The following is a 14,018-nucleotide window of genomic DNA, read 5'->3' as shown; positions in this document are numbered from 1 at the left end:
CCATATGATCATCACAGTAAATGCAGAGAAAAACCATTGAAAAATTCATTATCTCTTCATGATAAAATCACTCAACCAAGTAGGCATTATAGTAACATGTGTCAAAATAGTAAGACCTATCTATGACAAATCCATAGCCAACATCATACTGAATTTATAAAAGCTCAAACCATTTCCCTTGAAAACTGGAACAAGATAAGAATGCCCACTCTTACCACTCTTATTCAACACAGGACTGAAAGTCCTAGTCTGAGAAATCAGGCAAGATAATAAAATAATTAATTAAGAAAGCAATCCAACTTACAGTAGCCACAATTAAAATAAAATAGCTAGTAGCACAGCTAACAAAGGAGATAAGAAATCTGTACAAATTAAACTACAAAACACTGCTGGAAGAAACCATGGGTGACACAAATAAATGGAAAAATAAATACATGTTCATGTATTTATGGAAAAATCAATATTGTAAAAATGGGCCAGACTGTCCAAAGCGATTTACAGATTCGATGCTATTCCTATATACCAATGTAATTCTCCACCAGATCAGAAAAAAACTTTTCTAAAACTTATGTAGAACAACAACAAAAAGGAGCCATAATAGCCAAAGCAATTCTCAGCAAAAACAACAAGCTATAATTATAACATTACTCAAATTCAAACTATTGTATAGAACCACAGTAAAAAAAATAATAACAGCTTTATGTTGTTACAAAAAAGATATGTAGACCAATGGAATAGAACAGAGGTATCAGAAATAAATTATTACACCTACGACCATCTGATCTTTGACAAGGCTGACAAAAACAAGCAATGGGAATATAACCTTGTATTCAGTAAATTGTGCTTGTCTACCTATACGGACAAGATTGTAGCTCAGCCCCTACTTTTCGCCATATACAAAAATTAACTTAAATTGATAAAGGTTTTAAATATAAGTTCTAAAACTACAAAAATTTTGAAAGAAAACCTAGAAAATACTCTTCTTGACATTGGTCTCAGCAAAAAATGTTTTGCTGAGTCCCCATGAGCAATTGTGATAAAAACCAAAAATAGAAAAGTGGGACCTAATTAAACTAAAGATCTTTTGCACAGCAAGATAAACTATCAACAGAGAAAAAAACCTACAGAATGGTAGAAGATATTCCCAAGCCATGCACCTGAGAAAGACCCAATATCAAGAATCGATAGAAGACTTAAATAAACCCACATGCAGAAAACAAGCAATCCTATTTGAAAGCGGGTAAAGGACATGAAAGGAGACGTACAAGTGGCCAAAAAACATATTAATAAATGCTCAATATTACTAATTATTAGAGAAATGCAAATCCAAACCATAATGAGATACCATCTCACACCACTCAGAATGACTGTTATTTACAAGTTTAAAAAACTCAACACATGCTGGCAAGGCTGTGGAGAAAAGGGACCACATATACATTGTTATTGCTGATGTAAATTAGTCCAGACCCTGTGGAAAGCAGTCTAGATATTTCACAAGGACCTTAAAATGGAGCTACAATTGGACCCAGCAATCCCATTACTAGGTATATACACGAAGCAAAATAAATCATTCAACCAAAAAGACACATTCTCTTGTATATTAATTGCTGTGCTATTTACAACAGCAAAGGAGTGAAATAAACACAGATGCTTATCAATAGTAAATTGGGTAAAGATAATATGGTACATATGCACCATACAATACTACACAACCATAAAGAGTAAAATCATATCCTTTGGATGAACATGGATTGAGCTGAAAGCCATAATCTTAAGTAAATCAACGTAAGAAGAGAAAATCAAACACTGCATGTTCTCACTTATAAGTGTGAACGAAACATTGAGCACACATGGGCATAGATATAGGAACAATGTGCACTATAGACTACTGAAGAGTGATTGAAAAATTACTATTGGGCAGTATGCTTACTACCTGGGTGACAAGATCTGTATCCCAAACCTCAGCATAATGCAATATTCTAATACAACAAACCTGCATATGTACCCTTGTACCTAAAATAAAAGTTGAAATTTTTAAATAAAAAGAATAAAAAAGAAGACAGAGTGGCTCAATATATTTAACAAAAACACAAGACAACTATATTCTGCAAATAAGAAACTCACTTAACCTCTAGTGACAATCTTAGATTGAATGTAAAGACATGAAAAAAGATATCCCATACAAATGAAAACAATAGAAAACTTGGAGTATCTATGCTTATGCCAAATTAAACACATTTTTTAAAAAACTGTAAGAACAGGCAAAGAAGGTACTCATATGATGATAATGGGGTCAATGAAGCAATAGAATATAACAATTACAAATCTCTATGAAACCAATATTTGAGCACCCAAGTGTAAAAAGCAAATATCAATTGATCTGAAGATAGAGATAGACTGCAATACATTAATAATAGGAGACTTTAATACCACATTTGTTGCAATGGACTGATCTTCTGGACAGAAGATTCACAAAGAAGCATTATATTTAACTACAATGTAGAAGAAAATACAATAACTGACAATTACAGAACATTTCATCCGACTGCAACAGGATTCACATTTTTTCTCATCAGAACATAGAGCATTATCTAGAAAACAAAATATATTAGGCTATAAGACAAGTCTTAAGAAATATAAAAAAAATTGTTTGAAGTATATATTTTTTGAGCACAATGGACTTAAACTTGAAATCAATAACAAGAGTAATAATGGACACTAAACAAAAACATGGAAATTAAACATCGTGTCTCTGGACAATAAATTGTCAATAAATAAATTAAAAATAAAATTCTGAAAATGTATTTAAACAAATAAAATGGAAAGACAACATAACAACACTTACGGGATACAAAGAAAGCAGTACTAAGAGGAAAATTTATAGCAACAAACACATATATCAAAAAAGTAGAGACTTCAAATAAACAAACATATCATGTGCCTTAAATAACTTGAAATCAAGAAGAAACCAATCCCGTAATTATTAGAAGAAATAATAAAGACCTAAACACAAATACATAAAATTGAGAATTAAAAACACTACAAAAGATTAAAAAAATAGTTGATTTTTAAGAAGAAAAAAAACTTTGGCAAATCTTTAAGTAGACCAGAAATAAATGAAAATAACAAAATAAGTAAAATCAGAGACAAAAGAAGATACAGTAACTGATACCACAGATATTCGGAGAATCATATAAGTCTACTGTATGCAACTATAAAACAATAAATAGAAAACATAAGATAAATAAATAAATGTTTATACTTATGAAACCTACCAAGATTAAACCATGCAGAGATAGAAAACCTGAACCCAAAAAATAAGGAGTAATGAGATTAAAGCAGCAAAACAATGTCCCCTATCAAAGATAAGTTAAAACCTGATGTCTTCAGTGGTGAATTTTATTAAGCTTTTAATAAATACCTATTGCCAATTTTACTCAAATTATTCCAAAAAGCTGAAGAGAAATAAATACTTCTGAACTCATTTTACAAGGCCAACATTATCCTGATACTAAAACCAGACAAACATACAACAACAACAAAACTACAGACCAATACCCCTGAAGAATAAAAATGCAAAAGTCCTCAATAAAATAACAGCCGACTGAATTTAAAAACACAGTGAAAGTATTACTCACTATAATCAAGTGGAATTTCTCTGGGTGGTCAAGGATTGTTATTCAAACTCAAATTGGTAAAAATGTTTCAATGATTAACAGACTCAGGAATAAAAACTATACAATCTTTACAATGGATCTCATAAAACATTCAATAAAATTCAGCACCCATTTATAATAAAAAACTAAAAAACTGGCTATAGAAAGAACATATCTCAAAACAATAAAGCCCATGTATGACAAACCCACAGCTAGCATGAAACCTAGTAGGGAAAATTGAAACCTTTACCCCTAAGATCTGGAACGAGACAATGATCACCACATTTTACCATTTTTATTCAACCTAGTATTAGAAGTCCTAGCCAGGGCAATTAGACAAAAGAAAAAAGAAATAAAATGCATCCAAACGGGAAAGAAAGAATTAAAATTGTTTTGGTTTACACATAATATAATCTTATATGTAGAAAAACCTAAACACTCTACCAAAATCTGTTAGATCTAATAGAAAAATTTAATAAAATTGCAGTATAAAAAATACCATACACAATGTAGTAACATTTATTTTTATATGCTAACAATAAAAAATCTGAAAAACAATTAAATACATCAATAATATTGACAATAGTCAAAAAAATAAAATACCTAGGAACAAATTTAAGATGTGAAAGATTTACACAAAATGAAAGCTATAAAACACTACTAAAAATGAAGAAAACCCCCCAAAATGGAAAGACATTTCATGTACAGATTGGAATAATATTGTAAAAATATCAATACTGCCCTAAGAAATCTATTAATTTAATTCAATCTCTATCAAAATATCAATGAAATATTTAACAGAAATAGAAAAACAATCCAAACAATTTTATAAAACCACAAAAAACCCAATAGTGAAAGCAACCCTAATCATAAAGGACAAAACTGGAGGCATTACATGAAGTAACTGCAAAAGTATCAAAAATCTATAACGACCCTAACAGCATGATACTGGCATAAAATAAACACATAGATAAATAGAGAAAAGTAGAGAACCTCGAAATGAATCTTCATATTTACTGCCAACTCAATTTTGATAAAAACACAAAAATATACACTGGGCAAAGTACAATATCTTCAATGAAAGATTCTGAGAAAACTGGATATCCATATGTAGAATAAAACTAGAACCCTGAACCCTTTCACCATATGCAAAAATCAAAGCAAAATGGATCCAAGACTTAAAACTGAGACCAGAAACTATGAATCTGTTGGAATAAGACATTGGGAAAACACTTCAGGACATTGGTCTTGGCAAAGATATATTGAATAAGACCTCAGAAGCAAAAGCAACCAAAGCAAAAACATTGACAAATAAGATTGCATCAAGGTAAGAAAGCTTCTTCCTAGCAAAGGTAACAATCAACACAGTGAAGAGACAACCTACAGAATGGGAGAAAATATTTGAAAATTATTCATCTAACAAGGCATGAATAACCAGAATATATGAGGAACTCAAACAACCCAATTGTAAAGAAAATAAATAATCTGTTTTTAAAATGGGTAAAAACATAAATAGATGTTTCTCAAAGAAAGATATAGAAGTGGTTATCACGCATGTGAAAAAAATTATTAACAACACTAAATCAACAGGGAAATGAAAATTAAAACCATGAGATATCATCTCGCCCTAGTCCACATGGCTATTATTTTTAAAAACCACAGAAAATAAATGCTGGTAGGGGTGCAGAGAAAGAGACATGTTCAAAAATAGCTCATTGTAATGTCTGCAGCTACTATCAAAAACAGTATGAAGGTTTCCCAGAAAACTAAAAATAGAAAAAGTACACGATTCAGTGATCCCACTGCTGAGTCATATCCAAAAGGAAAGAAGTCAGCACATAGAAGAGATATCTGAACTCTCATGTTTAATGTAATTTTATTTCAAATAGCAGCAATATGGAAACAACTTTAGTGTCTATCAACAGATAAACAGATAAAGAAATTATATGATATATATCTAATAGAATATTAATCATAAAGAAAAACGTAATTATCTCTTTTGCAGTAATATGAAAGAAAGTGGAGAACATTATGTTAAGTGAAATAAGCCAGGCCTGAAAGACAAATGTCACATGTTTTTACTCATGAAGGAGTTAGAAATTGATTTCATAGAGGTAGTAAATACAGTGATGATTATCAAAGATTTTTGTTTCTAACTTTTATTTTAAAAGTTTGGAATACACATGCAGGTTTGCTAATAGGTAAACATGTCATGGAGGTTTGTGTAAAGATTATTTCATTACCAAGATATTAAGCCTACTACCCATTACTTATTTTTTTCTAATAATCTCCCTCCTCTTACCCTCTAACTACTGGTAGGACCCAGTGTCTGTTGTTCCCTCCATGTGTTTATTTGTTTTTATCATTTTGCTCCCACTTATAAGTAAGAAGAGGCAGTATTTGGTTTTCTGTTCCTGTGTTAGATTGCTAAAATTAATGGCCACCAGCTCCATCCATGTTCCTGCAAAGCACAAGATCTCATTCCTTTTTATGGCTCAACAGTATTTCATGGTGTATATGTACTATGTTTTTATTATCCAGTCTTCCATTGATGGACATTTTTGTTGATTCCATGTCTTTGCTATTGTGAATACTGCTGCAATAAACCTACACGTGCATATGTCTTAATGATGGAACAATTTATATTCTTTGGGGATATACCCAGTGATATGGTTTTGCTGTATCACCACCCAAATCTCATCTTGAATTCCCTTGTGTTGTGGGAGGGACCCAGAGGGTGGTAACTGAATCATGGAGGCAGGAATTTCCCTTGCTGTTCTCAAGATAGTGAATAAGTCTCATGAGATCTGATGGTTCTATAACAGGAGTTTCCACACACAAGCTCTCTCTTTTCCTGCCCCCATCCATCTTAGATGTGACTTGCTCTTCCTTGCCTTTCACTATGATTGTGAGGCCTCCCCAGGCATGTGAAACTCTAAGTCCATTAAACCAATTTTCTTCCCAGTCTTGGGTGTGTCTTTATCAGCAGCATGAAAACAGGCTAATATAGTAAATTTGTACTGGGAGTGGGGTGTTGCTGAAAAGATACCCAAAAATGTGGAAGCGACTTTGCAACTGGTTAACAGATAGAAGTTGGAAAAGTTTGGAGGGCTCAGAAGAACACAGGAAAATGTGGGAAAGTTTGAAGCTTCCTAGAGACTTCTTGAATGGCTTTGATAAAAATGCTGATAGTAATATGAACAAGAAGGTCCAGGCTGAGGTAGTCTCAGATGAGAGATGAGAAACTTTTTGGGAACAGGGACAAAGGTGACTCTTGTTATATTTTAGCAAAGAGACTGGTGGCATTTTGGCCCTGCCTATTTGTGGAACTTTGAAAGTTCCATTTGTGTCACTTTGAACTTGAGGGAGATAATTAAGGATATCTGGCAGAAAAAATATCTAAGCAGCAAAGCATTCAAGAGGTGACTTGGGTACTCTTAAAAGCATTCAGTTTTAAAAGGGAAACAAAGCATGAAAGTTTGGAAAATTTGCAGCCTGACTATGCAATAGAAAAGAAAATCCCATTTTCTGAGAAGAAATTAAATTTGGTTGCAGAAATTTGCATAAGTAATGAGGAGCTGAATATTAATCCCCTAGAAAATGGGGAAAATGTCTTCAGGGCATGTCAGAGGTCTTCACGGCAGACCCTCCCATCACAGGCCCAGAGGCCTAAGAGGAAAAAAAATGTTTTATGGGCTGGGCCCAGGGCTCCCCTGCTCTGTGCAGCCTAGGGACCTGGTACCCTGCATTCCAGCTGCTCTACCCATGGTGAAAAGGGGTCAAGATACAGCTCAGGCTGTTGCTTCTGAGAGCAAAAGCCTCAAGCCTTTGCAGCTTCCACCTGATGTTGAGGCTGCACATGCACAGAAGTCAAGAATTGAGGTTTGGGAACCTCCACGTAGATTTTAAAAGATGTATGAAAATGCCTGGATGCCCAGGCAGATATTTGCTGCAGGGAAGGGGCCCTCATGGATCAAGTCTGCTAGGGCAGTGTGAAAAGAAAATGTGGGGTAGATCCCCCACAGACAGTCCCTTCTGGGGCACTGCCTAGTGGAGCTGTGAGAAGAGGGCCACTGTACTTCAGACCCCAGAATGGTATACCCACTGAGCAGCTTTTACTGTGGGCCTGGAAAAGCCAGAGACACTCAATGCCAGCCAGTGAAAGCAGCTGGGAGGGAGGACATACATTGCAAAGCCAGAGAGGCAGAGCTACCAAAGACTGTGGGAACCTACCTCTTGCCTCAGCATGACCTGGATGTGAGACATGGAATCAAAGGAGACCATTTTGGAGTTTTAAGATTTAACTGCTTCACTGGATTTCAGACTTGCATGGGGCCTGTAGCCTCTTTGTTTATGCCAATTTCTTCCCTTTGGAATGGCTGTAGTAATGCAATATCTGTACCCCCATTGTGTTTAGAAAGTAACCAAGTTGCTTTTGATTTTACAGGCTCATAGGCAGAAGGGACTTGCCTTGTCTTGGATGAGACATTGGACTGTGGACATTTAAGTTAATGCTGAAATGAGTTAAGACTTTGGGGGACTGTTGGGAAGGCATGATTGATATTGAAATGTAAGGATATGAGATATGGGAGAAGCCAGGAGCAGAATTTGGCTGTGTCCCCATCCAAATCTTATCTTGAATTCCCATATGTTATGGGAGGTACCTGGTGGGAGGTAATTTAATCATGGGGGCAGGTCTTTTCCATGCTGTTTCCATGATAGTGAATAAATCTCATGAGATCTGATGGCTCTATAATGGGTAGTTTCTCTGCACATGCTCACTCTTTGCCTGCCATCATCTATGTAAGACGTGACTTGCTCCTCCTTGCCTTCTGCCATGATTGTGAGGCTTCCCCAGCAATATGGAACTGTAAGTACATTAAACCTCTTTTTCTTCTCAGTCTTAGGCATGTCTTTATCAGCAGCATAAAAACGGACTAATACACCCAGTAACGAGATTTCTGGGTCGAATGGCAGTTCTGTTTTTAGGTCTTTGAGGACTTTTTTCCATAATGGTTTAACTAATATTCATGCTCACTGTCAGTGTATTAGAATTTCTTTTCCTCTGCAACCTCACCAGCACCTGTGGGTTTTTTTTTTTTTTGACTTTTTATTCATAGCCATTCTGACTTGTGTGAAATGATATTGTATTGTGGTTTGGATTTGCATTTCTCTAATGATTAGTGATGTTAATTTTTTTCGTATGTTCATTGGCCACACTTATGTGTCTTCTTTGAAAAAAGTGTCTGTTATGTCTTTTGCCAACTTTTCAATTGGGTCGTTTGTTTTGTTTTGTTTGTAAATTTGTTTAAGTTCCTTATTGGTGTTGGATATTAGAACATCTTCAGATGCATAGTTTGCAAAAATTTTTTCTAATACTCTAGGTTGTCTATTGCTAATTTATTTTGCTGTGTAGAAGCTCTTTAGTTTAAACAGATCACATTTGTCAAATTTTGATTTTGTTGCAATTACTTTTAGCATTTTTGTCATGAAAACTTTGCCCATTTTTTAAAATCCAGAATGGAATTGCCTAGGTTTTCTTCATGGTTTTTATAGCTTTGAGTTTTACATTTAAGTCTTTAATCCATTTTCAGTTAATTTTTGTATATGGTGTAAGGAAAAGGTTGAGTTTCTATCTTCTCTTTATGGTTAGCAAGTTATTTTAGCACCATTTATTGAATAGGAAGTATTTTTCTCATTGCTTGTTTTTGTTGATTTTGTCAAAGATCAGACAGTTCTAGGTATGTGGCCTCATTTCTCAGCTCTCTATTCTGTTTTGTTCGCCTGTGTGTTTGTTTTTGTACCAGTGCTGTATGCTGTTTTAGTTTCCATAGTCTTGTACTATAGTATAAAGGCATTAGCTTTTTTTTTTTTTCCTAAGGATTGTTTTGGCTTTCTAGGTTGTTTTTTTTTTTTGTTTTTTTTTGGTTCCATATAAATTTTAACATAGTTTCTTCTGGTTCTGTAAAAAATGTCATTGGTAGTTTAATAGCAATAGCCTTGAATCTGTAAGTGGCTTTGGGTAGTATGACCATATTGATATTGATTCTTCTCCATGAGCATGAATGATTTTCCATTTGTTTCTGTCATCTGTCATTTTTTGAGCAGTGTTTTTTACCTCATTTGTAGAGATCCTTCACCTCCTTGGTTAGCTGTATACCTAGGTATTTTAAATGCTGTGGTTATTTTGAATGGGATTACATTCCTGATTTGGCTTTCAGCTTGATTGTTGTTAATCTATAAAAAAGCTAGTGATTTTTGTATGTTCGTTTTGTATCCCAAAACTGCTGAAATTTTTTCTCAGTTTGAGGAGCTTTTAGGCCAAGACTATGGGGTTTTCTAAATACAGAATTATGTCATCTGCAAACAGGGATAGTTTGACGTCATGTATTCCTATGTGGATGCCCTTTATTACTTTCTCTTGCTTGATTGCTCTGGCCACAACTTCCAATCTTATATTGGATAGGAGTGGTGAGAAAGGGCATCCTTGTCTTATGCCACTTTTCAAGGGGAATGCATTCAGCTTTTGCCCATTAAGTATGATGTTGCTGTGGGTTTGTCTTATATGGCTCTACTTATTTTGAGTTGTGTTCTTTCAATACCTTTATCTTTGAAAGTTATTAATATGGAGTGTTGAATCTTATTGAGAGTCTTTTCACATCTATTAAGATAATCATGTGGTTTTGTCTTTAATTCTGTTTATTTCATGAATCACATTTATTGATTTACATATGTTGAACCAATCTTGCATCCCAGAAATAAAGTCTATGTGATTGTGCTGAATGTGAATTTTGATGTGCTGTGGGATTTGGTTTGCCAGTATTTTGTTGAGGATTTTTGCAACTATGTTCATCAAGAATATTGGCCTGAAGTTTTCATTTTTTATTGTGTCTTTGCCAAGTTTTGGTAACAGGATGATGTAGGTCTAATAGAATAAGATGGAGAAGAGTCCCTTCTCCTCATTTTTTTTCCTAGGAATAGTACTAGCCCTTCTCTTTACACCTTGTAGAATTCAGCTGTGAATCCGTCTAGCCATGAGCTTTTTTGGTGGGTAGGGTATGTATTACTGATTCAATTTTGGAGCTTGTTATTGATCTGTTAAGGAATTCAATTTCTTTCAGGCTCAGTGGGAAAGCGTATGAGTCCAGGAATTTATCAATTTCTTTGAGATTTTCTACTTTATATTAATAGAGGTTTTCATAATATTTACTATTTTTTTTCCATTTCTTTGCGGTTAGTGGTTATATCCCCTTTGTGATTTTTAATTGTGTTTACTTGGATCTTCTCTGTTCTTCTTTATTAGTCTACTTAGCAGTCTATCTATTTAAATAACTTTTTCAAAAATTCAACTTCTGGATCTGTTATTGTTTTGAGATTTTTGTGGCTCAATTTTCATCAGTTCAAGTTCTGAATTTGATTATTTATTGTCTTCTGCTAGATTTGGAGTTGGTTTACTCTTGGTTCTCTACTTCATTTAGTTGTGATGTTATGTTGTTAAATTGAATTTTTTTAACTTTTTAATGTGGGCATTTTAGTGCTATAAATTTGCCTCTTTACACTGTGTTAGCTGTGTCACAGAGATTCTAGTATGCTGTGATTTAGTTCTCATTAGTTTCAAAAAACTTTTTGTATCTTCCTTAATTTTATTTACTCCAAAGTCATTCATTATCAGGTTATTCAATTTCCATGTAATTGTCTGCTTTGAGTAAATTTGTTAGTCCTGATTTCTAATTTGATTGTGCTGTGGTTCAAAACAGTGGTTGATATATATGTATATATATATATTTGCATTTGATGAGGAGTGTTTTGTGTCCTATGAGGCGATCAATTTTAAAGTGTGTGCCATGTGGTAATGTTGTAGTCTTGCCAATTTACCAAAACGTAACAGTTTCTCATTGTCTGAGCCAATACCAGGATTTCTTTGTCCTACATCCAGGAAGATTGAGAAGTGTGGACACAAGGGTGAGGTTGGAGCAAAAGTTTAATGAGCAAAAGAAGAAAGCTCTCTGCCATCGGGGTGATGGGTTGCCCCCTATGAGCATGAGGTCCAGGGTTTTTATTGACTGGGAAGGAGAATAAATGTGCTTTGTCTGCAGATTGTCTTAGAATTCTTGGTCCAGGACCAATCAGGGGCTCAAATCGAGATTTATAGAGGCTGTTTAGCCTGGCCTTGGACTTATCAGGAATTGGAGTGAAAGCTTGGCCTGGGACTACTGCCTGGGACCAATCAGGGGCTGAAGTGATGATTCATAGAGGCTGGGTCTACAATCCAAAAAGAAAAAGAAAGTGATCACCACAACCCACCAAAACTCACTGTGTTCATGCCCACGAAAGAGAAGAAATTTATTCCTGGGAGCCCACTGATTATACAAAGGACAAAGGCATTTCTCTGTCAGGCCTTGTTCCTTTGTCTGAGTGAGTGGAGGTTTGTGCAAGTTTTTACCTGAATGGGCTTCAGATTCTTCTATTTGTTCAGCCATAGGCATGTCTTCAGGCATAAACCCCTGTGCTAGTTCCCTTATCAGTTCCTACAGCTTGATTTTTCCCAGGCTGTTTTTTATGTTATGTGAAGATGAGGCACTAACCCATAGGTGGAGGGCTCTCTGGGGATCCTTCCCTTGCTGTCTACAAAATGCTAGCTAGTTAAGTCCTCTCCATAATGAGAAGAATATGTATTTTGTTGTTTTGAGGTAGAGAGTACTTTCAATTTTTATCAGGTCCATTTGATCCAGTGTTGAGCTCAGGTCTTGAATGTCTTTGTTAATTTTCTTCCTCGGTGATACATCTAATACTCTCTGTGGGATGTTCAGATCTCCCAGTATTATTACGTGAAAGGTTAAATCCCTTTGAAGGTCTCTAAGAACTTGCTTTATGAATCTGAGTGCTCCTTGTGGTGAGTGTATATACAGTTAGAATAGTTAGGTCTCGTTTAATTGAACACTTTATCATTATGTAATGCCCCTTTTTGTCTTTTTTGATAGTGGTTTATTTAAATTCTGTTTCATCTAAAATTAAGGTTGCAACCCCTACATTTTTTTATGTTTTTTGATTGCTTGGTGTATTATTCCCCATCCCTTTATTTTGAGTTTATGGGCATCATTGCATGTGAGATGGCTCTTTCAAGGACAGCATACCAATGATTCTTGGTTCTTTTTTCAGCTTGGCACTCTGTGCCTTTTAATTGTGGCATTTAATCCATTTCAATTCAAGATTAATATTGATATGTGTGGATTTAGTTCTGTCATCATGATGTTAGCTGGTTATTATGCCGAATTGTTTGGTTGGTTGCTTTATAGTGTCACTGGTCTGTGTAATTAAGTGTGTTTTTTGTAGTGCTTCCTTCTGGAGCTTTTTTACAGTAGGTGTGGTGGTAATGATTTTCCTCAGCATGTGCTTGTATGAAAAACATTTTATTTCTCTTTCACTTATGAAGCTTAATTTGGCTAAATAATAAAATTTTTTGTTGTAATTCATTTTTTTAAAAAAATTTAACTATTGACAATACTCCAATTTCTTCTGGCTTATAGGGTTTCTACTGAGAGGTCCACTGTTAGTCTGATAAACTTTCCTTTGTAAGTGACTTTATTTTTTTCTCTAATTGCTTTTATTATTTTTTTCCTTTCCTTTCACCCTTGGAGAATTTGTTGATTATATGTGTTGGGAATAAACTTGTGAAGTATTTTACTGGGGTTCTCTACATTTCCTGAATTTGAACGTTGGTTTTTCTATCTAGGTTAGGGAAGTTCCTATAAATAATATCTTGAAATATGTTTTCCAAGTTGTATACCCTTTCGATCTCTTTCAGGGATAACAATGTGTTTTAGATTTGGTCTCTTCACATAACCCAATATTTCTTGGAGGTTTTGTTTATTTCTTTTTATTATCTTTTCTCTATTCTTGTCTGATTGTCTTATTTTAGAAAGCCAGTCATAAAGCTCTGAGGTTCTTTATTTATCTTGGTTTATCCTGCTGTTACTAGTTGCAATTACATTATGAAATTCTTGTAGTGTGCTTTTCAGCTCTGTCAGGTTAGTTATGTCTTTGTCTATAATTGCCATTTTGTCTGTCAGCTCCTGTGTTATTTTATTGTGACTCTTAGCTTACTTCAATGAATTTCAATGTACTTCTGTATCTAAACGATCTTCATTCCTATGTATATTCTGAACTCTATTTCTGTCATTTTAGCCACCCTTGCCAGCTTAAGAACCCTTGATGAAGGGGTGGTGCAGCCCTTTGGAGAGAAGGACTTCTCAGTTTTCGAGTTGTCATAGTCCTTGCACTTTCTTTCGTTCTCTTTCTTTCTTCTTTCTTTTTTCTTTCTTTCTTTCTTTCTTTCTTTCTTTCTTTCTTTCTTTCTTTCTT

Source organism: Homo sapiens, chromosome X (assembly GCF_000001405.40).
Source record: "Homo sapiens chromosome X, GRCh38.p14 Primary Assembly".
NCBI classification, from domain to species: Eukaryota; Metazoa; Chordata; class Mammalia; order Primates; family Hominidae; genus Homo; species Homo sapiens.
Note: the sequence above shows the minus strand (reverse complement) of the source record.